Source organism: Homo sapiens, chromosome 3, assembly GCF_000001405.40.
Source record: "Homo sapiens chromosome 3, GRCh38.p14 Primary Assembly".
In the NCBI taxonomy this organism is placed as follows: Eukaryota; Metazoa; Chordata; class Mammalia; order Primates; family Hominidae; genus Homo; species Homo sapiens.
In genome coordinates, this window is record NC_000003.12 from 186717046 (window position 1) to 186744410 (window position 27365).

The window sequence follows — 27365 nt, forward strand, 5'->3', positions numbered from 1 at the left end:
CTATGCAGGTAGGTATCCTGCAAAGAAACTTTGTATGAAATGTGTCTGCACATTGTACTCATTCTTGCATTGTTTACCCATGTAGTGACCTTCAAAAATGGCTTTGCAAAAGTCACAGGGGAATAACCGAGTTAGTAGGCACTTGTTTCCCCTCCTTCATCAGATTCTGCTCTGATTTGCTACATAAAGTTGTATAATCACCTGGAAATATGCACTGTGCTGCCACGTGATTTTCAAATGCAAATGAGCAGGTTAACAACCCCAGTGTTGCAATGTTCTAGCTGTAAATATGTTTGGATAACCCAGCAGAGCCATTTAACCTTTGGGAACAAGGCAACTAGCGTCTGGCAGCAGGAATCCAACCAGTGCCCTGAGTTCTGAGGCAGAGAGGAGGACAGAAGAAACAAGAGGCTGGAGATTGTCAAATTCAGTATCCCAGTTGGCTCTTGATTCTTGGTGAAACCATCCCTCAGCTCCTAGAGGGAGATTGTTAGATCATGAAACTAATTACCATCCTTTTCCTCTGCTCCAGGCTGCTACTAAGTTTAACCCAGGAATCACAGTCCGAGGAAATTGACTGCAATGACAAGGATTTATTTAAAGCTGTGGATGCTGCTCTGAAGAAATATAACAGTCAAAACCAAAGTAACAACCAGTTTGTATTGTACCGCATAACTGAAGCCACTAAGACGGTGAGTGAATTGTGTTTAACCTTGAAGTCACTTGGGATTTGTACTATCACTAGGAGTCCAGGCCTCACACACACACACACATACCACCACCAGCACCCACCACCACCACCCACCACCCACCACCATCACCCACCACCACCACCACAACCACCACCACCACCCACCACCACCACCACCATCCACCACCACCCACCACCCACCACCACCCACCACCATCACCCACCACCCACCACCCACCACCACCCACCATCATCACCCACCACCACCCACCACCATCACCCACCACCCACCACCACTCGCCACCATCACCCACCACCATCACCCACCACCCACCACCCACCACCACCAACCACCACCATCCACCACCACCAACCACCACCCACCACCACTACCACCCCTCACCACCCACCACCACCGCCACCCACCACCCACCACCATCACCCACCACCACCACCATCCACCACCACCACCCAACCACCACCACCCACCACCCACCACCATCACCCACCACCCACCACCACCCACCACCCACCACCCACCACCATCACCCACCACCTACCACCCACCACCCACCACCACCACCACCCACCACCACCCACCACCCACCACCACCACCACCCACCACCACCCACCACCACTACCACCCCTCACCACCCACCACCACCGCCACCCACCACCCACCACCATCACGCACTACCAAATATGTGATCATCAAAGGTAGAAGCTTACAACTTGTGGAAAGACAGATACCACTCTCTGGCCTGGGGTGGGAGGACAGAGTATGACTCGTCCTCAGGCAGGTTGGCTTCCTGGATGATCAGAGAAGTAGAATCTAGGGTGAAATGAAACAAAAGTAGATGGAGAAATCTCAACAGGACCAAGTAGAGAGGGAGAATTTAGGAATTTAGTTAGACTGCAGCAAAAGAATTCACTGGGTCTCTGGCCCTAGGCTAAAAACTATAGAACTCCAAACCTTTAATGGGAGGGGGTACTTCATGGGGCATGTCTAAGAGGAGTGAGGAATGAGGTTAATGTGATTCTACGGAATTAGACAGAAGTCTGTATGGCTGAATGTACTGGGTTTAACAGCAACGTTTTAGTTAGTTTTTGATATTATTGCAATGATGCACTCCAGCAGGAGACAAATCCTGGCAGGATGCATGGTTCAAAGAAATACCAATCTTTCAAGAGTATGTTTAAACAAATTTCACTATAAAAGACTATATCTCTGGGAATGTCAAGCAATTGGTTACTTTAGCAGAAAAAAAAAAACTAGCCATGTGACAACATGGGGATAAAGGAAAATAAACACAGTGGACATGTTATTTTTTCTGAAAGTAAAATCGAGCCATTTTCTTTCATAATCTAGTACAGTCATGTGAGAAATTCTGCTTCATGGTGATCTCAAGCAACAGTTTATTGGTGGTGTGGTACCCAATAGATTGTGGGTATGGTTGTAAATATACTAAAAAACATTAAATTGTATGCCTTTAGTGGGTAAATTTTATGGCATGTAAATTATATCTCAATAAAGCTGTTTAAAAAAGAAAAAGTAGGAAACAAAATAAACCAAATAAAAGTACTAAAATCACCCATAATTAATTCCACCATACAGAGATAACTGTTAACATTTGTTTAAGGTTTTCTTGTTTGCTTTTTCTAATTTGTAAAAGTCATATACGTTCATTAGGGGAAAAAGACCACTTAGAAATGTTTGCTTGGGCCGGGCGCGGTGGCTCATGCCTGTAATCCCAGCACTTTGGGAGGCCAAGGCGGGGGGATCACGAAGTCAGGAGATCGAGACCATGGTGAAACTCAGTCTCTACTAAAAAATACAAAAAAGTAGCCAGGCGTGGTGGAGGGCGCCTGTAGTCCCAGCTACTCTGGAGGCTGAGGCAGGAGAATGGCGTGAACCCGGGAGGCAGAGCTTGCAGTGAGCCGAGATCACGCCACTGCACTCCAGCCTGGGCGACAGAGCGAGACTCCATCTCAAAAAAAAAAAAAAGAAATGTTTGCTTGAAGAAGAAAGTGAAAGATAATTATAATCTCACCACTGACAGACAAACATTTTAACAGCTTGCTGTGTATCTTTCCAGACTTTTAAAAGACATAGATTTATATATAAACCAGTTTTGACAAAAATGGGCTAATACTATGCATACTGCTTTGTAACCTTTAAAAGTACATTGTGAATATATTATAAACATTCTTTCACATAAATGTTTATGATAGAAATATAAATATATTTTAAGTGAATGCTTTGCTCTCAAGTCAAAGATCAATATTCCTAACTTTACCGGAACCCACTAGAATTATTTGCTGTTGGGTCAGTTGGATGAACCCTAAGTATCTTTGGCTGCTTTTCAGGTTGGCTCTGACACGTTTTATTCCTTCAAGTACGAAATCAAGGAGGGGGATTGTCCTGTTCAAAGTGGCAAAACCTGGCAGGACTGTGAGTACAAGGATGCTGCAAAAGCAGTAAGTGTATTGGCCATTCTTGGGCCTTCTGTTTTCTCCGTTGACCCTGCCAGATTTTTTTACTGATGCAGAAATGATGGCTACTGGTGAGCCTGTTTATGAGAAATGCAAATAAACATTCCAATGTGTAGAAAAGTCAGATGCTTTATATCTGTGTTCTTGTATAGACAGAAAAATCATGGAGAAGCCAGCAGTTAAACATGGAGAAAGCCTTTCCATGAGAAGGGGGCTCTAGTGTCCAGCCAGAACATGTGGCTCAGACTCCAGAGAGATAACAAATTGACATTTGGGCCAAGCCAAAGAGCTGGCGAGGGGAGGGGGTGGGTGCTTCCATTGCACAACGTTAAGTGCAAATCTTGACTCTGCCTTCCATTAGCTGTGTGATAGCGGGGGAGCTGTGACCTCTCAGAACTGGCACTTTCTGCTGTATATGGGAGATAATATTGACCTCATCAGGTTGTTGGAGGATGAAATCAGATGAATTATGCAAATAACTTTGATAACAATGGCTATCTTAACCAAATGCCTAACATATAGGCCTGGCACACCATAGCTGGTTGTTGTTTTGCTTTTTTTTTTTTTTTTTTTTTTTGAGCCAGAGTCTCGCTCTGTCGCTCAGGCTGGAGTGCAGTGGCGCGATCTCGGCTCACTGCAAGCTCTGCCTTCCAGGTTCACGCCATTGTCCTGCCTCAGCCTCCTGAGTAGCTGGGACTACAGGCACCCACCACCACGCCTGGCTAATTTTTTGTGTTTTTAGTAGAGACCGGGTTTCACCGTGTTAGCCAGGATGGTCTCAATCTCCTGACCTGGTGATCTGCCTGCCTCAGCCTCTCAAAGTGCTGGGATTACAGGCGTGAGCCACCACGCCCAGCCATGGTTGTTTTGCTTTAATTAAGAAAGATTTCAGACAGTATCTGCCTCAGAAGCAAGCCTCTCTTTTCATGGATTGATTCCCTTCTTTTATGTCAGAACATAAAAGATGACTGCCAGTCATCTGCCATTACCAAAGAGTACTGAACTCCAAGTCAGGAGTCTAGGATTTTGCAGTGCTGGTTCTCCCTTCTCAGTCATCTCATCTGTAAGGTGGGGATAAGTAGCTGCTGTGCTCTGTACTGCCTGCTTCTAGGGGCTGTGTGGACAAAGGGAGGTGTGCTTTATCCTGATGGAATAGTATCTGTCACTTAGAATCCAATGGATATGACTGAAGAATGAAAAGACAAAACAAAACAAAAACACTGTTCAACAATAACAATTAAACAGCTGCCTATTATTAAGTGCCTGCTGTGTGGCGGGCCTCTAGTAGGCATTTTGTGTGTGTTTGCACACATACTGTTCACAACAACTCTAAGAGATAGATGTATCCCATCTTCTACAAGACGGGTAAACTGAGACTCCAAGAGTCAAGGGGACATGACAGAGTTAACAGCTAGCAAGTGACAAGGCTGGAACTGAATAACATTTTGATGCCAAGGTCCTTGCCCTTTCTATTAAGTTAAACTGAAGTTTATGTGAACAGTATTAACTCACTGAAGTTGAGTGGTAGATAAGAGGAGTGTTTAGCAGGCTGGTTCTAGACCTCTGCGTCCATCTTGGTTAGAAAGAAATAGCTCCAGAGCTCAGCCAGGTGCAGTGGCTCACACCTGTAATCGTAACACTTTGGGAGGCCGAGGTGATTGGATCATTTGAGGTCAGGAGTTTGAGACCAGCCTGACCAACGTAGTGAAACCCTGTCTCTACCAAAAATACAAAATTAGCTGGGTGTGGTGGCACGTGCATGTAATCCCAGCTACTTGGGAGGCTGAGGCAGCAGAATCACTTGAATCTGGGAGGCAGAGGTTGCAGTGAACCGAGAGATCGCACTGTTGCACTCCAGCCTGGGTAACAAAAGCAACACTCTGTCTCAAAAAAAAAAAAAAAAAAAAAAAATAGGAAACAAAAGAAAAAAGAAATACCCTCCAGGGCTCAAAACAAAGACTCAAGCTTTAAAACCTCATCATTTACACTGTCTTTCCTCCAGCATCTCATGAATATCAGTGGCTTATATAAAGTAATCATTAGGCTATTAAAAAAATTTATTCTCATGTCTCAAAACTCTTTTGGTAAAATCTTCACAAGTTTTGTTTTGTTTTGCTTTTTAAGGAAAGCCACATTTAGCAACAGTATTAGGTAGACTTTCCCATCTGAAAGATTAAGATAAATGATCTCTTTCTTTTCTTTTTAGGCCACTGGAGAATGCACGGCAACCGTGGGGAAGAGGAGCAGTACGAAATTCTCCGTGGCTACCCAGACCTGCCAGATTACTCCAGGTGGCTGGTTTATCCTCTGGCACTGCCCTGGTGGGAAATTAACCATTTCTGTGAGCCAGGAACACAATCTTGACCAGGCTCTGCTTGCTCCCAGAGGGTGGCAGTAGTAAAGCCATTTGCAGAGTTAGGGAGCATTGGGTGGAGCGGCAGAGCCCGGAGGTTGAGCCAGGCTTGTGACCATCATCCCCTTAGGACTATCCCAACTCTTCCCGTGTGCTGCATTGTACCCAGTGTGTGCAAGGGCTCAACAGAAGGACCAGAAGACATAAGACCTGCCCTCCATTGCAGGCAGCATCCCAGATTGAGGAGCGCATAGGCTTTGAGGGCAGACCTGGCCTGGAATCTTTCAGAGCTCCTTGCCTTCTTGCCTCTCCTTTTCCTTGTCTAGAAAAGGGAGGTAAGAGTACTTCCCACTTCACAGGACTGTTGTGAGGCTGAAATGAGATGATATGCCTGGAGGTACAATCATAATAACATACTAACATATTAATCATAATAACATATTAGCAACAATCAGGATAAAAGTAATAGCTAAGATATATTGAGTCCTTATGTCCCAGCCATGACTCAAAGCACCTTACATGTATTATCTTCTTTTTCTTTTTTTCTTTTACTGATACATAATATTTTACATATTTATGAGGTACATGTGAGTGTTTTTTACATGCATTGAACGTGTAATGATTAAGTCAGGGTATTTGGGGTATCCATCACCTGGAATAGTTATCATTTCTATGAATTGGTAATATTTCAAGTCCTCTCTTTTAGCTACTTTGAAATATACAATATATTGTTGCTAACTATAGACACTCTAGTCTGCTATGTAACATTAGAACGTATTTCTTCTATCTAACTATAATTCAGTACCTATTCACCAACCTCTTCATTTCCCCCTTCTACCCGCTTACCCCGCTCAGCCTCTGGTATCTGTCATTCTCTTCTCTTCTCTATCTCCATGTGATGGTTTTAGCTTCCACATGTGAGTGAGAACAATGTGAAGTTTGTCTTTCTGTGCTTGAGTTGTTTCACTTAACGACCTCTAGTTCTGTCCATGTGGCTTTAAATGATATGATTTCAATTCTTTGTTTACGGCCAAATACTATTTCATTGTGAGTATATACCACAATTTCTTTCTTTTTTTTTTTCATTTTGAGACAGAGTCTCGCACTGTCGCCCAGGCTGGGGTGCAGTGGCACGATCTAGGCTCACTGCAACCTCCCGGGTTCAAGCAATTCTCCAGCCTCAGCCTCAGCCTCCTGAATAGCTGGGATTATGGGCATCGCCACCACGCCCGGATAATTTTTGTGTTTTTAGTAGAGATGGGGTTTCACCATGTTGGCCAGGCTGGTCTCGAACTCCTGACCTCAGGTGATCCACCCGCCTCGGCCTCCCAAAGTGCTGGGATTACAGGTGTGAGCCACTGTGCCTGGTCCCCCACATTTTCTTTATTCATTCACCTTTTGATGGACATTTAAGTTGATTTCATATCTTTGCTATTGTGAATACTGCTGCAACAAACCTGGGAGTGGAAGTACCCCTTTGATAGGCTGATTTACTTTCCTCTGGGTAGATGCCCAGTAGCTGGACTACTGGATATATGGTATTTGGTGTTTTCATTTTTTGAGGAATCTCCGCACTATTTTCCATAGTGGTTGCACTAATTTACATTCTTACCAACAGTGCATTAGAGTTCTCTTTTCTCCATATCCTCCTGGCTGTGTTTACCGCTTACATGGCAGGCAGCGAGAGCTCTGTGGTGAAGAAGTCCAGGCTCCCAGGGGGTCCCTCCAGGTGTGCCACTCACTCTGCAGCTACGTTCCCTTTTTATGGACTTTGCCTCTATTGACCAGTAGGTTAGGGCTATCTGTTATGAACATTACTTGATAATTTAATACAAACTCTTTTTAATAATAGCCATTCTAACTGGGGTAAGATGATATCTCATCTCATAATGGTTTTGATTTGCATTTCCCTAATGCTTAGTGATACTGGGCATTTTTTCACATATCTGTTGGCCATTTGTATGTCGTCTTTTGAGAAATGCCTACTGAGATCATTTGCCCACTTTTTAATGGGATTACTTGGTTTTTTTATTGGTGAGTTGATTGAATTCCTTGTATATGCTGGATGTTAGTCCCTTGTGGGATGCATGGTTTGCAAATATTGTTTTTCTTTCTTTTTTTTTTTCTTTTGAGACACAGTCTTGCTCTGTCGCCCAGGCTGGAGTGCAGTCGCATGATCTCGGCTCACTGCAACCTCCGTCTCCTGAGTTCAAGTGATTCTCCTGCCTCAGCCTCAGCCCCCCGAGTAGCTGGGACTATCACATTCAGCTAATTTTTGTATTTTAAATTTTGTAATTTTGTATTTTTAGGAGAGATGGGGTTTCACCATGTTAGTCAGGCTGGTCTCGAACTCCTGACCTCAGGCGATCTGCCCGCCTCAGCCTCCCAAAGTGCTGGGTTTACAGGCATGAGCCACCACGCCCAGCCTCTTCTTTGTTTAGGGCAGTGTATGCGAATGCTGATTGCGATCATTAATGCTGTGTTTTTGTCTGCTCTTTGTTAAGCCGAGGGCCCTGTGGTGACAGCCCAGTACGACTGCCTCGGCTGTGTGCATCCTATATCAACGCAGAGCCCAGACCTGGAGCCCATTCTGAGACACGGCATTCAGTACTTTAACAACAACACTCAACATTCCTCCCTCTTCATGCTTAATGAAGTAAAACGGGCCCAAAGACAGGTTTGTTCTTTAATTCTCTAAGTAGCACAGTATTACTAAAATTTGTTAGATCTTTACATTTAAAATGTATGATTGCATGGCTGGTGGTGTTTTCATGTGACTAGCACAGGAAGCGAAGAGCTTTCTCCTTAGTCAAAGTGAGTCGGATAGTGCAATATGTAAAGTGAGAAAAGATGTCGAATCAGACCCCCTTCCTTTGATGTTTGATTTTAACAAATGGGTAATCGTCATTACAGGCTCTTCCTAGAGACAGTGAAAAGGAAAAGTCATACCGGCCTTAGGATTTTTTTTTTTTTTTTTTTGAGACAGAGTCTCTCTCTGTCGCCCAGGCTGGAGTGCAGTGGCGCGATCTCGGCTCACTGCAAGCTCCGCCTCCTGGGTTCAGGCCATTCTCCTGCCTCAGCCTCCTGAGTAGCTGGGACTACAGGCGCCCGCCACCACACTGGCTAATTTTTTTTATTATTATTATTTTTAGTAGAGGCGGGGTTTCACCATGTTAGCCAGGATGGTCTCAATCTCCTGGCCTTAGGATTTTAAGAAAACTATATTATCACCTAGCCATCATGACTTAAACACAGCTCCAAAATATTAAATTGTGTCTAAAATGGTCGGCATGGCTTTCTGGGTACCCACTAAGTTACAGTTCCCATATCATCAGAAAAAAAAAAGTATATATCCGTAATTTTTTTTTTTTGACAGTCTCGCTCTGTTGCCTAGGCTGGAGCAGTGGCGCGATCTTGGCTCACTGCAACCTCTGCCTCCCAGGTTCAAGCAATTCTCCTGCCTCAGCCTCCCAAGGAACTGGGATTACAGGCGCTCATCACCATGTCTTGCTAATTTTTGTATTTTTAGTAGAGACGAGGTTTCACCATGGTGGCCAAGCGGGTGGTCTCAAACTCCCAACCTCAAGTCATCCTCCCACCTCGGCCTCGCAAAGTGCTGGGATTACAGGCCTGAGCCACTGCACTCAGCTACAAATCTTCTTAATGATTCAGTACACCCAGACTTTTCTTCTTTTTTTTTTTTTTTTTTTTGTTTTTTGAGGAAGAGTCTTGTTCTGTTGCCCAGGCTGGAGGCTGGAGTGCAGTGGTGCCATCTTGGTTCACTGCAACTTCCACCTCCCAAGTTTAAGAGATCTCCTGCCTCAGTATCCCAAGTAACTGGGATTACAGGCACCCACCACCACGCCCGGCTAATTTTTGTATTTTTGGTAGAGACAAGGTTTCCCCATGTCGGCCAGGCTGGTCTTAAATTCCTGACCTCAGGTGTTCCTCCCGTCTCGGCCTCCCAAAGTGCTGGGATTACAGGCATGAGCCACCACGCCCGCCCCTCCCAGACTTTTCTGATAGTTGACTGGGTCTCTTGTATTTCAGCCTCTTATTATGAGTGATTCCCTTTGGTTAGTAACATTCTCTGCATTTAATAAACCTTACAACTTGCTTTCATGCGAGCATGCTTTACTCAATTATGTCCGTATAGTGCTATCAGGGTGGGAGAGGCCCAGAATAAAGTAGAAGAAATCTTACTACTTGGTAACCTGGGAGCCTGAGGACCCAACAGTAAAGACCACTCCCCTCTAAAGTTTTCTTTATCCGTCTAGAAGGGCATTATTATTTTATGAAATTCAGTAAACATTTCTCTCTGCAGCCTGGCAGAGGAAATATTGTTAGGATTCACTTAAGGAAATCCATGTTCCAAAACTGGCTGAAAAATAGAAAAATATATATATTGCTTGTCATTTTCAGATGGCTAGCGGTGTATGTGTGTGTGTGTGTGTGTGTTTGTGTGAGAGATATGAGACTCTTAAGGTGCTCAATGTTTATTCAGCATTTTTTTGCCTAGTAATAATAATATTTTATATTTCTTGGGCACTTATTATATTGCCACACTGTTTTCTAAACTCCTCATAACATTCATATCCCACAGCGAATAATGTTTAAACTGCCCTTTAAATATTCAATCTGAAATTGTTTCAGGTGGTGGCTGGATTGAACTTTCGAATTACCTACTCAATTGTGCAAACGAATTGTTCCAAAGAGAATTTTCTGTTCTTAACTCCAGACTGCAAGTCCCTTTGGAATGGTGTAAGTAGGCAAAAATTTAATGATAAAGTTCTTAGCATTTTGTTTACATTTTGTGGTAACTATCAAGCTGGGTGGGAAGACTGTCACGAAAAGTTTAGATGACATTCAGCAATTCATATTCACATTTACTTGGGAAGACTAAAGCTCACGTCACTGGTCAAGCTGCCTTACCTAACTGGCCAAAGAATCTGCACAGCTAGCAATAAGTATTTTTTTATAACTTTATTTTATTTTATTTATTTTTTGAGACAGGATCTCAATCTGTTCCCCAGGCTGGAGCACAGTGGTGTGATCTCATCTCACTGCAGCCTCCACCTCGCATGTTCAAGCTATTCTCCTGCCTCAGCCTCCCAAGTAGCTAGGACTACAGGCGCCAACCACCACGCATGGCTAATTTTTGTATTTATAGTAGAGACAGGGTTTTACCGTGTTAGCCAGAGTGGTCTCGAACTCCTGACCTCAGGTGATCCGCCCACCTTGGCCTCCTAAAGTGCTGGTATTACAGGCATGAGCCACCGTGCCTGGCCAGCAATAAGTATTTACAGAGCATAACCAGGGACTACGAATAGATAAAATGCTTGAACGGTCAACTGTATCTTTGTTATGTCTCCACACTTTCCCATTTCCTTTTCTTCCCCAGGTGCTCAATGCCCATATGGTGTTCCCTTGCTCTACCCAGGGTTATTCTTCATGTCAAACTTTTCTCTGTTTGTTTTCTCATCTTCCCTTCCCTACCTTTATCTTTAATAAACAGACCCTGAGTCTCTAGCCCTTAGTGGTCCTTCTTAGCATCGTATCTTGTTATCTGAACCAAAATTATATTAAAATGGTATATCTCAAGGTAGTAGTAGCTAGCGAATGTTAAGATGGCGAAGACATGATATGTGCCCAGGGATGTTTGCATTTGAGCAGAAGACTGTGCTTTAGCCAAGGAAATGCTGCAAGTCCTTTGATCTAGTAATTCTGCTTCTAATTCATTTATATGGGAAATCCAGACCATAAGATGTTAATGTCAGTTGTTTTTTAATAGAAAAATATTGTAAACAAATAGTTTATGCAACATTACAGAATGGTTAAGTAAATTACAGTATATCCATACAGTAGAATATGATACAGCTATCAAAAATTTTTAGTTTTTAGTGACATAGTAAAACGGTTACAATGTTAAGTAAAAAACAAAAAAAGTGGGATACAAAACTATACATACGGATTTATTTAAATATGTAAAATAAATGTAAATACAAAAAGTGATGGAAAACAAATTATGACAAAATATAGAATGTAGTTAACTTTCAGTTGGAATTGTGGGTGCTTTTTCTTTTTTGAGAAGAGGTCTTGCTCTGTCACCTTGGCTGGAGTGCAGTGGTGCGATCTCGGCTCACTGCAACCTCTGCCTCCCAGGTTTAAGCAATTCTCATGCCTCAGCCTCCCTGAGTAGCTGGGATTACAGGCGCCCGCTGCAACGCCAGGCTAATTTTTGTATTTTGGGTACAGATGGGGGTTTTGCCACGTTGGCCAGGCTGTTTTCGAATTCTTGATCTCAGGTGATCCACCCACCTTGGCCTTCCAAAGTGCTGGTATTACAGGTGTAAGCCACTGCATCCGGCCGCTTTTTCTGATTCTTTATATTTTTTGGAAGTTTTTGATATTTCCCGAGTTTTCTAATTGAGCATGCATTTATTTTATAATTGGAGAAAAAAGTAAAAAGGACACTATCAAGAGAGTAAAAATACAACCCACAGAATGAGAGAAAATATTTGCAAATCATGTATCTGATAAGAGTTTAACATGCAGAATATATAAAGAACCTCTTTTTGTTCATAAAATAACAAGTATTAGAAAGGGCATGGAGAAATTAGAACTTTTGTACATTGCTGGTAGGACTGTAAAATGCTGCAGCCATTATAGAAAATAATTTGGCAATTTCTGAAAAACTTAACTATAGAATTACTATGTGACCCAGAAGTTGCACTCTTAGGTATATGCCCAAAAGAACTGGAAATGCATATTCAAACACGTGTTTATACATGAATTTCTATAGCAGCAAAATTCATAATAGCCAGAAAGTCAAAACAACCCAAGTGTCTATCAATAGGTGAATGGATAAACAAAATGTGCTATTATATATACACAATGAAACACTGTTCACCCTTTAAAAAGAATGAAATTCTGATACATGCTACAATGTGGATGAAGCTTGAAAATATTATGTTAAGTGAAATAAGCCAGACACACACAAAAAATATTGTATGATTCCACTTATATAAAACACCTAGAATAGGCAAATTCAGTCAGAGACTATTGGAGTTGCTAGAAATGTAATGTAGGCTTTTCTTTTTTTTTTTGAGACTGAGTTTTGGTCTTGTTGCCCAGGCTGGAGTGCAATAGCGCGATCTTGGCTCACTGCAACCTCCGCCTCCCGGGTTCAAGTGATTCTCCTGCCTCAGCTTCCCGAGTAGCTGGGATTACAGGCATGTGCCACCACGGCCGGCTAGTTTTGTATTTTTAGTAGAGATGAGGTTTCTCCATGTTGGTCAGGCTGGTCTCGAACTCCCAACCTCAGGTGATCCGCCTGCCTCAGCCTCCCAAAGTGACTTATCACACAGCACCTGGCTATGTTTGTTTATTATTCTTTTTTCCCCTCACTTCTGGAGACCTAGGCATAGGTCTTTCTATTTGTTTGTTCTATTTGTTTGTTCTATTTGTTTTTCTCCCTCTGTTTTTAAATTATGAAATCATGTCGAGTCAAAAATTAACTTAGAATGCTGTTCTAATAACATTATATGGAATTCTCATTTTTGTTATTTTGTTTTTTTTTTCCTTATCCAAGAAAGACCCTAACTTTATTGGCAAGCATGTTTATATTTCCAAGTATATTGTTTTTGTTTGTTTAAACATGTTATGAATTTTTAGAGATTATTTTTTCTTTTTGGTGCTGAGGTGAAAGAACATACCCTGTATTGTTTCTGCTTTGTAAAATGTATTGGATCTTTTTGTGACCTGGTGTAAAAACAATTAAAAATATTTGTATGATACTGGCCGGGCACGGTAGCTCATGCCTGTAATCCCAGCATTTTGGTGGGTGGATCACTTGAGATCAGGAGTTCGAGATCAGCCTGGCCAACATGGCAAAACCTCATCTCTACTAAAAATACAAAAAAATTAGCCGGGTGTGGTGGCAGACGCCTGTAATCCCAGACACTTGGGAGGCTGAGGCAGGAGAATCACTTGAATCCAGGAGGCAGAGGTTGCAGTGAGCTGAGATTGCGCCACTGCACTCCAGCCTTGGCGACAAAGAGAGACTCCATCACAAAAAAAAAAAAAAAAAAAAAAAAAAAAATATATATATATATATATATATATATATATATACACACACACACACATATATATATACACATATATATATACACATATATATATACACACACACAAATACATACAAATTAGTATGATACTTATGAAAGTATCATTTAAAATCATATGTAGCATATGAAAATACCATTTAAATAAATCTTTAATATGTTATTCAAATCTTCTATGTTCTTGTTTATTTTTTATTCACTTGCCCTGTCTTAGATTTGTAATTGCATACTAAATTTTCCCACCATATTATTTCTATCCATTTCTATTCACGTGTAATTTTTTCTACTTTAGGTATTTTGATTCCATGCCTTCTGGTCTATGCTTTTGAAAAATAAAATGATCATTTTTACTACCTTTAGGAATGAGTGTTTTGTTCTCGTGAATTTTACTTTGTCCAATATTACTAATACTGTAGTTCCTGCTACGTTTATATTTGTCTCACGTAGCTTTGTTCATCTGTTATTTTTAAGCTTTATACATTGTTTTTATCATAAGATGATTCTTGAAACTGTAATACATTGATTTGGTGTTTTAACAGTGTGAAAGTCTTACCTTATTTTTTTAGAAATTTACCTTTTTACTTACATGGCTGTTATTTCTGTACTAGATCTTCCTGCTTTCCATGTGCTCATGTATATGCATGTATTTGTTGATGCTATTGATACTATTACCTTAGTATCTCTTTTGCAGTAAGACTATGTTTTGCTTCTTTCTTTTTTTTCTATGCAATGATTTGGAAAGTACACGTCCTATTCTTCAATTTTACTAGTTGTTTACTTTTAAGACTCTAAAAAATGTTTTTAACTGAGCACTTATATGCTTTTTAAAAACCAGGATACCGGTGAATGTACAGATAATGCATACATCGATATTCAGCTACGAATTGCTTCCTTCTCACAGAACTGTGACATTTATCCAGGTAAGGAATAACACATGTTGGCACCGCAATAGAGGAATAGTGGTCCCAGACAACTGGCTGAGTCTTTTCCTATAAGTTGGGTTTTGGTTCCCGTGATATACTCCAAAGTCTGTGTAACCTGCAGACACAGATGCACCCCTTGATGAGAACACTGTACCCCTTCGCTGCCCAGTTGTGCTGCAGCTCAGACTGTTCTTGTCAGAATGGTTTATGAAGACAGAAGGGAAATGTATGACCCCTGGGCAAAGTTGGCCTTTGGGTACAATGCCATCTGGTCTCTCTTCTCTGTAAGTTGTCCTTAAGTCAGATGTTGTAAGTTGAAGAGACCTGTATTTTATTTCTAAGCACTCAGAACAAAACCCTTTCAATTAAGGTGGTTTTTTCCTGCATGTTATAATGGGAAGAAATGGAGATAGTGTGAGTTTGTGGTCAGGTCAGTGTTTCTTATAACAAGGGTGTGCTTTTCTCATAGTTGGAAAACGTTTGTATGCGTTCCATGAGTAGTCTGAAGCTGCCTGTTCATCAGAACCATAGCACTTAAACTTTTCTCATGAGAGTCACTCCTTTAAATTAAGCATTGCTTTTTACAGTTTCCATCAAAAATGCAAAAATTCAGGAAAAGTGTAGCGTTTTGTTGGAGTTACTCGCACTTTCCTATTGAAAATGTTTCCCTAAGTACACTGTGCTCTGAGGAGGAGAAAAGAAGAGAGGCAGGAAGTGAAAGTCAGACAGACAACCTTCCCCCACTCACTACTGGGCCTGGGCTCCCATGTAGCCCCTTATACATGTGGATGCTGGTTCTTGTGCAGGAGGGATGCTAGGCCAGGCTGCTACTTCAGTGTACATGTTGACTTAAAACCTGATCCTTTCAGGGAAGGATTTTGTACAACCACCTACCAAGATTTGCGTGGGCTGCCCCAGAGATATACCCACCAACAGCCCAGAGCTGGAGGAGACACTGACTCACACCATCACAAAGCTTAATGCAGAGAATAACGCAACTTTCTATTTCAAGATTGACAATGTGAAAAAAGCAAGAGTACAGGTGTGTAAACTATACTACAAAAGCAGTAACACTATAGTCTATGTGCAAATTGCTGACTAATTTTGCCACTGATCTTGGCTCTGGATTGGGAAACCATACATTTGATAATGTGATTTGGTGCATTAGATTTGGTAAATTAAGTGCCAATCTCCCTGTATGCTTCATCCCGGACAAGTATTTTACAACATTCTCTCTGTTTTCTATATGTAAAGGACTGAGGTGAGGATCAAATAAGTTAATATATGTCAAATCACTTTTTCAAACTCTAAAATGCTATATAAATACAATAGCAGCTGGGCGCGGTGGCTCACACCTGCAATACCAGCACTTTGGGAGGCCAAGGCGGGTGGATCACAAGGTCAAGAGATCAAGACCATCCTGGCCAACATGGTGAAACCCTGTCTCTACTAAAAATACAAAAATTAGCCGGGTGTGGTGGTGCACACCTGTAGTCCCAGCTACTCCAGAGGCTGAGGCAGGAGAATCGCTTGAACCTGGGAGGCAGAGGTTGCAGTGAGCCGAGATTGCGCCACTGCACTCCAGCCTGGCAACAGAGCGAGACTCTGTCTAAATAAATAAATAAATAAATAAATAAATACAATAGCAACCATGATATAATTAATAAAATTCAGGGCTAGGGCCAGGAAGACTTACGCTATGTCTTTCTGGACTCATCTCTCATTATAACATCACATAATGTCTTGGGCTCAGCCATATCAGTCAATCCATCATTGCCAAGGCTCCACGCTTTCTTGCCTCCATGTCTTTCACCTACTGTTCTCTCTGCCTGGGATCCCGCTCTCCTGCAAATGTACCCTCTGGGGATTCATCTCTCCTTTCATGCCCTATCAATAGAAGACTGACAGGAGTGTCTTCTGGGAGTCAGGAGACTCAGTTCCACCATAGCATCTGCCGCTCACATCCCAGATCACTCTGGGTGGTCATTCAAACGTTCTAAGCCTTTGTGGCCCCGTCTGTAAAATGAGTGACTGTATTAGAAGAGCCTACATTTTGCCGGGCAGAGTGCCTCATGCCTATAATCCCAGCACTTTGGGAGGCTGAGGCAGGCAGATCACCTGAGGTCAGGAGTTCGAGACCAGCCTGACCAACATAGAGAAACCTCATCTCTACTAAAAATACAAAACTAGCCAGGTATGGTGGTACATGCCTGTAATCCCAGCTACTCGGAAGGCTGAGGCAGGAGAATCACTTGAACCCGGGAGGCGGAGGTTGCAATGAGCCGAGACCGTGTCATTGCACTCCAGCCTGGGCAACAAGAGCAAAACTCCTTCTCAAAAAAAGAGAAGAGCCTACATGTCTAGCAACTCCAATAGTCTCTGACTGATGTCATTATGGACAGACCCCTATTTTAGAGACTAAAAATTGGCTTCCCTAAATACAAGCTAAATAAAAATAATCAAAATAGAGCCAAATTGTTACAGCAAGCCAACATAATCCTCATAATCTGGTGAAAAAATTCTCACTAAAAAGTTCATACTTTTGGCTCAGAATTGAATTTCTAGGAATCTAAAGTAGGAGTCTTTATATACAATGATATTCACTGCAGTTTTAAGTATAACAGCAAAAATAGTAAACTGTCAAAATGATTAATATGAGAATGATTAGATCATGTCTGGCATATCCTCAGAATAGAGTGTTAAGCAGCAACTTAAAAGCATCTTTGTGCGGAGCTCTTGATATGGGGAATGTCTTGTGTTATAATATTCAGTGAAAAAAAGGAGGCATAAAATTGAATATACATGATGTTATCAGTTGTGTTATTTTAAAGTACAGAAAATAATGTGGGAAAAAAAAGTGGCTCACGCCTGTAATCCCAGCACTTTGGGAGGCCGAAGTGGGTGGATTGCTTGAGGTCAGGAGTTTGAGACCAGCCTGGGCAACATGGTGAAACCCCATCTATAATATTAGGTTGGTGCAAAAGTAGTTGTGGTTTTTGCCAAAGTAATGGCAAAATCACAATTACTTTTGCACCAACCTAATAAAAATTCCAAAATTAGCAGGGTGTAGTGGTGCACACCTTCAATCCCAGCTACTCAGGAGGCTAAGGCACAAGAATGGCTTGGACCCGGGAGGCGGAGGTTGCAGTGAGCCGAGATTGTGCCACTGCACTTCAGCCTGGGCGACAGAGTCAGACTCCACCTGGAAACAAACAAAAAAACGAATGCCTCATAGTCATAGTGGTGATTTTTAGGTGATGGAATAACACTACTTTAATCTTTCTAATTTTCTGTATTACTTTTGTAACTGAAAAAAAGTAAACAAACTAGATTAAAGTAAATCAAAACTGATACTTTGATCTCTCTGCTACTTGAGCACTTGTTTCTATCCCAGACACAACCACCCTCTCTCTCTGATTTCATTGCCATATGACCACGTTAGGTTTACTTGAAAGGGACGCCAATCTATGCTATTCATGCTTTTTTCAGCTTTAACTTCTCACTTTATATTTCTGCTTTCTTGTGAAATTATTTTATTCTTTTTTCGTTGTTGTTTTTTAAGAGAGACGCGGGCCAGACATGGTAGCTCATGCCTGTGATCCCAGTACTTTGGGAGGCAGAGACAGGAGGATCACTTGAGCCCAGGAGCGAGACCAGCTGGAGCAACATAGCAAGACCCTGTCTCTACAAAAAAAGAATTAAAGGCCAGGCGTGGTGGCTCATGCCTGTAATCCCAGCACTTTGGGAGGCCGAGGCAGGTGGATCACCTGAGGTCAGGAGTTCGAGACCAGCCTGACCAACATGGTGAAAAACCATCTCTACTAAAAATACAAAAATCAGCTGGGTGTGGTGGTGGGTGCCTATAATCCCAGCTACTCGGGAGGCTGAGGCAGGAGAATCACTTAAACTCGGGAGGCGGAGGTTGCAGTGAGCAAAGATCATGCCATTGCACTCCAGCCTGGGTGACAAGAGTGAAACTCCATCTCAAAAAATAATAAAAAAAAAAAAGAATTAAAAAATTAGCTGGGTATGGTGGTATGTGCTTGTAGTCCCAACTACTTTGGGAAGCTGAAGTAGGAGGATTGCTTGAGACTGGGAGGTCGAGACTGCAGTGAGCTGTGATCGTGCCACTGCACTCTAGCCTAGGTGATAGAACAAGACCCTTTGGGCAACAGAGCAAACAAAAAGAGAGAGAGATGGGGGTCTCACTATGATGCCCAGGCTGGACTCGAACTCCTGGGAGCAAGCAATGTGCCCATCTCAACCTCCCAAGTAGCTGGGATTACAGGCGCACACCAATGCACCCAGCTCCCTTATTCTTTATTCTGAATGTTGTAGGAATAGGCCACCATGTATTGTATGTCAGAGGTTTGCCATCAAAAACAGAACCACTCATTCTCAAGCATGAATATCTAGTCTTCTTAGTAGTTACAGTTTTCTCTGTGGATTAATGAATCAACATTCTAGTATGCATATGTGTCTACATTAAGGATGTCAGGGGGACACAAAGAGGTAACCCATCAGATAGCTGCCAAGTCAATCTGAATATTGCAAGAATTTCAAACTTACTTTAGAGAGATAAATCTTTACTAATTTTTGCATTTAAAGAGAGCAATTTGGTTGCTTGGACATAGTCACCCAAGGCAGCCTTGATGGAAGCAGCCAATTTACTGGAAATCAATTAAACATATGATGAATTTGCTAAAAGCTAGTCTCCAAAATGACCAATTTGCCAAATTGCTAAATATTTATAGTTTTAATCTTGCCTTGGGTTTGCACATTTAGTCCTGTTTGGATGCATGTTGATTCCACGTTGGGTTCATATTTCAGATATGAAACACTTCCTGAATCTTCCATTTTCACACATTAGTGATTACAGTTTCATATAAGTTTTATTTTGCCCTACCACCACTGCTGCTGTCCCCAAGGCTGTTGATGCTCCTGTCTGCCTCTGCTGAGATGAATAAACTTCCAAGATCTGTGTGTGCACATGCAGAAATTTTTCCTTTGACAAAGTCCTAGGAATGTCAAATAATATGTAGATATATAAGACTTGATGCAAATTGCCAGAATCACCAAATATTTGCAATGATGCCAATTTACATTCACATCACCTGGGTATAAGACACCAGTTGAGGCCAGGCGTGGTAGCTCATGCCTGTAATCCCAGCACTTTGGGGGGCCGAGGCGGGCGGATCACCTGAGGTCAGGAGTTTGGGACCAGCCCAGCCAACATGGTGAAACCTCATCTCTACAAAAAACACAAAAATTAGCCAGGTGTGGTGACACTTGCCCGTAATCTCAGCTACTTGGGGGCGCTGAGGCAGGAGAATCACTTGAATTTAGGAGGCGGAGGTTGCAGTGTGTGTCACTGCACTCCAGCCTGGGTGACAGAGTGAGACTCCGTCTCAAAAAATAAAAGAAAAAAGACACCAGTTGAGGATCTTAATTTGAATTCTCTTCCTACCAGCAGTGACTGAGGCTGCTTGATTCCTATGCCTGGCCAATGCCACGTATCATCAATTTTTGTTTTCATCTTTGCCTGCATGGAAGGCTAACAATGATGTCTCATTGCTTTTTTAATGTGCATGTTTTTGTTTATTAATGAAGTTAAACTTTTTTTTAGGCTTAATGACCGTTTTAACTTCTCTGAAATACCTGCTCATGGCTTTTGTCCATTTTTAGTGTTGGGCTTTATATTCATACAGACATTGATTCTATATCATAGTTTTCCCAGCTTGCCTTTCTACTTTGCTTATTGTGATTTTTCAGAAGCAGTTTTCATTTTTCTCTAGTCAAGTTTTAGTATTTTCCCCTTCCTTCAGATTTCTTTCCTCTGCTTTTCACCTAAGAAAGGCCTTCCTCATCCTGGGTTTTGGTGAATATTTATTTATTTGTTTAGTTGTTTTTTGTTTGTTTGTTTTTGTTTTGTTTTGTTTCCCGAAACAGAGTCTCACTCTGTCACCCAGGCTTGAGTGTAGTGGCGTGATCTTGGCTCACTGTAACCTCTGCCACCCAGGTTCAAGCGATTCTCCTGCCTCAGCCTCCCAAGTAGCCGGGATTAGAGATGCTTGCAACCATGTCCGGCTAATTTTTAGTATTTTTAATAGAGACAGGGATTCATTATATGTTAGCCAGGACGGTCTCGAACCCCTGACCTCAGGTGATCTGCCCGCCTCAGGCCCCCAAAGTGCTGGAATTACAGGCAGGAGCCACTATTCCCGGCCAACACATTTAAATACTATGATTTAATACTAAATAATTTGGTTGAGAAATTGGGCCACAAAATATTTAATGGAAGATAGTGTTGAGTAGTGATTAAAACTGTTGCTAGAGATTAAAATAATTTTTTTTTCTTTTTGAGACAGAGTCTCACTCTGTCACCCAGGCTGGAGTGCAGTGGCATGACCTCAGCTCACTGCAACCTCCGCCTCCTGGGTTCAGGTAACTCCCCTGCCTCAGCCTGTCAAATAGCTGTCAAATTACAGGTGTGCATCACAAAGCCCATCTAATTTTTATATTTTTAGTAGAGGTGGGGTTTCACCACGTTGGTCAGATTGGTCTTGAACAGCTGGCCTTAAGTGATCCACCCGCCTCAGCCTCCCAAAGTGCTGGAATTGCAGGCATGAACCACCACGCCCAGCCTAAAATAATTTCTTAATATTAAAAATAGTAAGAGAACAATAAAAACCCCAAATAATTTTTCTAATTACAAAATTTAATCCACATAATTTCTATAGTAGTACTAACTCAGTATTTCACCAATTCAAGATTTGGCAGGACAATAAGGCATATTTAAAAACATTTTAAGTTTTTCTTCCTATTCCTGTTAGATTATTAGATATTACAACTTGAGCCCTTGAATTACTAGTGAATTTAACAGCTGTTGGACAATAAAACTCAAATAAATACATAAATAAATAAAAATTATAGGCCAGGCATGGTGGCTCATGCCTGTAATCCCAGCACTTTGGGAGGCCGAGGCAGGTGGATCACCTGAGGTCGGGAGTTCGAGACCAGCCTGACCAACATGGAGAAACCCCATCTCTACTAAAAATATAAAATTAGCCAGGCGTGGAGGTGGGCAACTGTAATCCCAGCTACTCAGGAGGCTGAGGCAGGAGAATTGCTTGAATCCAGGAGGCGGAGGTTGTGGTGAGCCGAGATCGTGCCACTGCACTCCAGCCTGGGCAACAAGAGCGAAACTCCATCTCAAAAAAAAAAAATAAAGAAAATTATAGCTTGCTTATTTCTTCCCCCACTTAGAAAAGGAAATGGGACCAACCGATAGCCAAATATTTTAAATATGCATGCCAAGCTTTAATGCCAAACGTGTACTTTTTTGTATGTAACTCTCTAAGTTGGTCAATTAAAATTTCAAGATTCTCCCTTAACATTTCTTAAAGATAAATGATTTATTATGCAAATATTTTTAAGCGTTTACTTTGTACTAATTAATTTTTCAGGTGGTGGCTGGCAAGAAATATTTTATTGACTTCGTGGCCAGGGAAACCACATGTTCCAAGGAAAGTAATGAAGAGTTGACCGAAAGCTGTGAGACCAAAAAACTTGGCGTGAGTAGTCATGCACCTGTCTACTTTTTCACTGGAAGCCTATTTGATGTTTTTAGAATCATTTGTTTAAATGTCTCGTGAATAACACTGTCTCTCTTTCGACTTCTGTTTTCATGGATAGCAAAGCCTAGATTGCAACGCTGAAGTTTATGTGGTACCCTGGGAGAAAAAAATTTACCCTACTGTCAACTGTCAACCACTGGGAATGGTATGATTCTAATTACAGTCAGCGTGGGGTCAGTTCTGCTCATTCTGAAAATCCATATTTGGGGGCTGAAAATGAACCATTACTGAAATGAATTGGGGAGCTATCTTTTTTAAATGGGGAGTAACTCTCACACTTCTGTGCTGATCTCTGTTTAATGGCTAGAAAGAAGAGTAACAATCCTCCTGATCACTTCTCACACATTGTCAGTGTCTCAGTGAAGCTTCTATAGACTCTCTCCTAGTGCACTGCAGTCCTGCTGTGGGGGAGCAACATTGGCTATGCCAGGTGTACCTGAGGCCAGATACAGCACTCCACTGCATTCTGCTGACATGCAAGGACCATGTGAAAAATGCATGGCTGGGCGCGGTGGCTCACGCCTGTTATCCCAGCACTTTGGGAGGCTGAAGCAGGCAGATCACCTGAGGTCAGGAGTTTGAGACTAGCCTGGCCAACATGGTGAAACCCTGTCTCTACTGAAAATACAACAATTAGCTGGGTGTGGTGGCGCCTGTAATCCCAGCTACTCAGGGGGCTGAGGCAGGAGAATCCCTTGAACCCAGGAGGTGGAGGTTGCAGTGAGCCGAGATCCTGCCACTGCACTCCAGCCTGGGCAACAAAGAGCGAAACTTTGTCTCAAAAAAAAAAAAAGAAAAGAAAAATTCAGACTCGCAAACCCCACTTCACAGCTACCGAATTTTAACCAGATCCCCAGGGGATTCATATGCATGAATCAAGTTTGAAAAGCATTCGTTGATGTCATCTTTCTTTTTTAAGTCTTAAAAGAACTCTGGGAGGTAGTAACACTTTCCCTATTGTCAAGGATGAGACACTAAAAATTAGAAAGACTCTGAGGTCCTGAGTGAATAATGACATTATCAAATGCTTCCTCTGTCCCAGGCACTATACTGAAGGTTTCACCCACATTTTCGAGTCCTCCTTATAACTCTGTGAGGCAGGTGCTGTTATTATTTCTATTTTACAGAAAGGAAAAGTGAAGCTGATGGCACTTGGATTCAAATCTTGGTCAATTCAGAGTCTACCCTTTCCATCACGATGCTGATTACCAGTAGGGTCTGGCCGGACTCCAATGACCATGTTCTTTGCATCACCAGACACTGCTTCCAATTAACACATTCTCACAGGTAGCAAAAGTGTAGGTAGAATTAATCCACAGATCGACATATTTGAAGCAGGTTACCTCTTTTCCCTCTTTTCTGATTTGGTCTTTTGTCATGTGTAGGTATGTAGATGGTGTAACACAAACATTGTCCTCAGGTTGCATTTCAAGCTTGCGAATATGTCCTAATGTGCTTCAGCACAACAAAGTGATCATGGATACATGCTCCCTATATATTCAGTTCATAAAGCCACTTAGGGCCTTTTAGGATAAAAGCAGTGATGGTGGTAATAACAGTAGTATCAATAATTAAATACTGTGCTCAGTAAAAACATAGGCTCAGAAGCTACCCTAGAGATTAGCTAGTTCAACCATCCAGATGAAGCAAAAACACTCCAGCTTATTTTACAGTTTTTTTTGTTGTTGTTTGGCTGGGTTTTTTTGTTTTTTTTTTGTTGTTGTTGTTGTTTGTTTTTTGTTTTTTTTGACAGAGTCACTGTCGCCTAGGCTGGAGTGCAGTGGCGCCATCTCAGCTCACTGCAACCTCCACGTCCTGGGTTCAAGCAATTCTCCTGCCTCAGCCTCCTGAGTAGCTGGGATTACAGGCATGTGCCACCATGCCCAGCTAATTTTTGTATTTTTAGTAGAGATGGGGTTTCAGCATGTTGGCCAGGCTGGTCTCAAACTCCTGACCTCAAGTGATCTGCTCGCCTTGGTCTCCCAAAGTGCTGAGATTACAGGTGTGAGCCACCATGCCTGGCTATTTTATGGTATTATTAACAACAATAATTAATGTCCACAAATTTTAAGATCAATCAAAAGACAAAAAAAATTATTCATCCTTTCTGGAATGTTAATATAGCATTTAAAATCTGGCAAACACCTCCCCCATTGTAAACTAAGATAACATTGCCAGATCTCAGTGTTTTTTTCTATCATCAATAGCATGATTTTTGCAGTAATACATTCATCTTAATATTTTCTGTTTAGATCTCACTGATGAAAAGGCCTCCAGGTTTTTCACCTTTCCGATCATCACGAATAGGGGAAATAAAAGAAGAAACAACTGTAAGTCCACCCCACACTTCCATGGCACCTGCACAAGATGAAGAGCGGGATTCAGGAAAAGAACAAGGGCATACTCGTAGACATGACTGGGGCCATGAAAAACAAAGAAAACATAATCTTGGCCATGGCCATAAACATGAACGTGACCAAGGGCATGGGCACCAAAGAGGACATGGCCTTGGCCATGGACACGAACAACAGCATGGTCTTGGTCATGGACATAAGTTCAAACTTGATGATGATCTTGAACACCAAGGGGGCCATGTCCTTGACCATGGACATAAGCATAAGCATGGTCATGGCCACGGAAAACATAAAAATAAAGGCAAAAAGAATGGAAAGCACAATGGTTGGAAAACAGAGCATTTGGCAAGCTCTTCTGAAGACAGTACTACACCTTCTGCACAGACACAAGAGAAGACAGAAGGGCCAACACCCATCCCTTCCCTAGCCAAGCCAGGTGTAACAGTTACCTTTTCTGACTTTCAGGACTCTGATCTCATTGCAACTATGATGCCTCCTATATCACCAGCTCCCATACAGAGTGATGACGATTGGATCCCTGATATCCAGATAGACCCAAATGGCCTTTCATTTAACCCAATATCAGATTTTCCAGACACGACCTCCCCAAAATGTCCTGGACGCCCCTGGAAGTCAGTTAGTGAAATTAATCCAACCACACAAATGAAAGAATCTTATTATTTCGATCTCACTGATGGCCTTTCTTAATTTAAGTGGCTATGGGTATTTCTTTCATACTTTATTAAAGTATCAATATCCCTCTCTCCATTGTCCAGATGAAAATATCCTGATATAATGCACCAAAAACCATGCAGCTTCGGAACAGTCTAAAGAGAAGTGGTGAGACTCCCAGTGGAGACACCATCAGTCTCCACGGACTGCATAAAATTGTGTGCCACAATTCTAACTCTTTTCTGAATCTTCTTCCCAAGTTTTCTAAACTAGCACAGTAAACAGACAAACTAATGTGCCGTATGGCCTGCTGCAATTGGCTTCTCTGATAACAAATATGTACCTTACAACATATGTCATGAATTTGCATACAAAGATTCTTGTCATTCTTAATAAACTGTGGCACTTGGTATTTGAATGTGTGTGAAAATAAGGGAAGTCAAGAGATTAAATGCTGAACTTATTAATGGAATAGAAATAATAAGGAGGCTGAGGCTGGAGAATTGCTTGAACCCGGGAGGCGGAGGTTGCAGTGAGCCGAGATCGTGCCACTGCGCTCCAGCCTGGGCATCAGAGCAAGATTCTGTCTCAGAAAAAAAGAAAAAAAAAGAAATAATAAGAAAAACTTCCAGATTTCAAAGTAACAAGAAAGAAGACAGGTTGGCCAAAGGGAGGAAAGGGGGGACATAAATTAATTGACTTTCTATTCCCAAAATGGGCTAGTTATATCAAATAAATACTCCCACTGCCCTTTCTGAGTGAGAGTGTTTCTCATAAGTCAAAAATTTCTGTTTACTCATTAACTACTCTTTGCAACAGGCTTTCATATAGAAGTATTCTGTTTATTTTTGCTGAGCCTAGATTGAGTAATTCTTAGTTTACAGAAGCTCCGAGCTTAATGATAAGGATGAAAAGCAGAGGGAGCAATATAGAAGCAGGCTTGCTAATAAAACTTTTTAAATAATTGACAAGGGAATATTATGGAATGTGATGCAAAGTTTGTTCCGAAATTTTATGAGGAAATTACTCTCTAGTCTCACTTTATAGTCTTTTTGCTATGACTTTGAAGACCATTGATTTTTGAGAAGCAGAATAATAGGATTGCCTTTCATTGCCCTATAGTGCAAAGAAGGTATATGCTTTATAACCAATGTTGTACTTTTGCCTAGAAAAACAAGATATGGCTTTAAATAGCTACAATCATCTTTGGATGTATATGTCACTGCTGCTTCAAGTTATTGGATGCATTTGAACCTCTGAGTTTGTCTTTCATTTTAAATATTGTCTGTTCTTTTAAATAAACAACCACAGATGTCAGGAAAAAGTCTTACCTTGTCAACTGGTTGCTCCACTTTTTAAAAATGATTGAATGATAACATCATATTAACTGCGTTTTACTATACTTACAGAGTCACCTAAGGTCCTGCGAGTACAAGGGTCGACCCCCAAAGGCAGGGGCAGAGCCAGCATCTGAGAGGGAGGTCTCTTGACCAATGGGCAGAATCTTCACTCCAGGCACATAGCCCCAACCACCTCTGCCAGCAACCTTGAGAGGAAGGACAAGAAGAAAGATGGGATAGAATTTAAATAGAGAAGAATGCCATTTTATCACTCTGCCTCTGGGTGAAATAAAGATCAGTCTTGATGTTCTAACTCTAATTCACAGTGGTCTCCTTTCAGCCCTACCCATTCTGCAGCAAATTCCAGCTGGTCAGAGAGTCAGTGCTGTGGCTCTGCCATGGAGGCTCATAACCCAACACTGGAACATTCCCTAGCCAAGGCAGAAGTCCTTAGGCGGGACTTCCTTACCACCACGGGTGCTAAAAGAAGAGTTAGTAGGTCATGCTTCTACCAGTAATCTAAGGACTCTCTCCTTCTCTTCTTCCTCTTTCTCCAGATTTCCAAGCCTTAGCTAAGAGTAATTTGGCTTGTTTAGTATTGTTTTCTTATGGTCCAGTTAATTACCAAAAATATTTTTAAAATCATCTCTGTTAATAGAATGTCTACCAACTTCTCACTATCAGAAAATACTCAACCTCCAAACAATTTGAAATTATCTTTCTGATCCAGGTAAAGAAGCAAATTGAAAATCAATAAAGTAAAAAGTGACGGAGA

At 41.8% G+C, this 27365-nt stretch overlaps 1 protein-coding gene across 3 annotated transcripts, besides 1 other annotated feature; it reads left to right on the forward strand.

The window, feature by feature from the left end:
- On the forward strand, window positions 314-27365 carry KNG1 (kininogen 1). 3 transcript variants are annotated; one of them, NM_000893.4, is made up of 11 exons: window positions 314-692; window positions 3060-3170; window positions 5392-5476; window positions 8043-8215; window positions 10192-10299; window positions 14500-14584; window positions 15457-15629; window positions 22054-22161; window positions 22283-22369; window positions 24477-24554; window positions 26660-27365. In NM_000893.4, exons 1-11 carry the CDS (start codon window positions 498-500, stop codon window positions 26738-26740), a joined length of 1284 nt encoding a protein of 427 aa, NP_000884.1. In that variant the 5' UTR covers window positions 314-497; the 3' UTR covers window positions 26741-27365. The 3 variants fall into 3 exon arrangements, with proteins under 3 accessions (NP_000884.1, NP_001095886.1, NP_001159923.1); NM_001102416.3 differs by having other exon boundaries at window positions 24477-27365; NM_001166451.2 differs by lacking the exon at window positions 10192-10299.
- Window positions 7764-8327: an enhancer, noted in NCBI's record as "NANOG hESC enhancer chr3:186442598-186443161 (GRCh37/hg19 assembly coordinates)". NCBI's record gives its function as "activates a minimal SCP1, AML or CMV promoter by ChIP-STARR-seq in naive H9 embryonic stem cells {active_cell/tissue: H9 hESC(naive)}" and the evidence as "EXISTENCE:reporter gene assay evidence [ECO:0000049][PMID:30033119]".

Bases quoted from the DNA above. Each gene is read 5' to 3' on its own strand.
- KNG1 (NM_001102416.3), top strand. From the start codon at position 498: ATGAAACTAATTACCATCCTTTTCCTCTGCTCCAGGCTGCTACTAAGT. The intron at 3,171-5,391 runs GTAAGTGTATTG...TTTTCTTTTTAG, and splicing joins ACAAGGATGCTGCAAAAGCA to GCCACTGGAGAATGCACGGC. The intron at 10,300-14,499 runs GTAAGTAGGCAA...TTTAAAAACCAG, and splicing joins GCAAGTCCCTTTGGAATGGT to GATACCGGTGAATGTACAGA.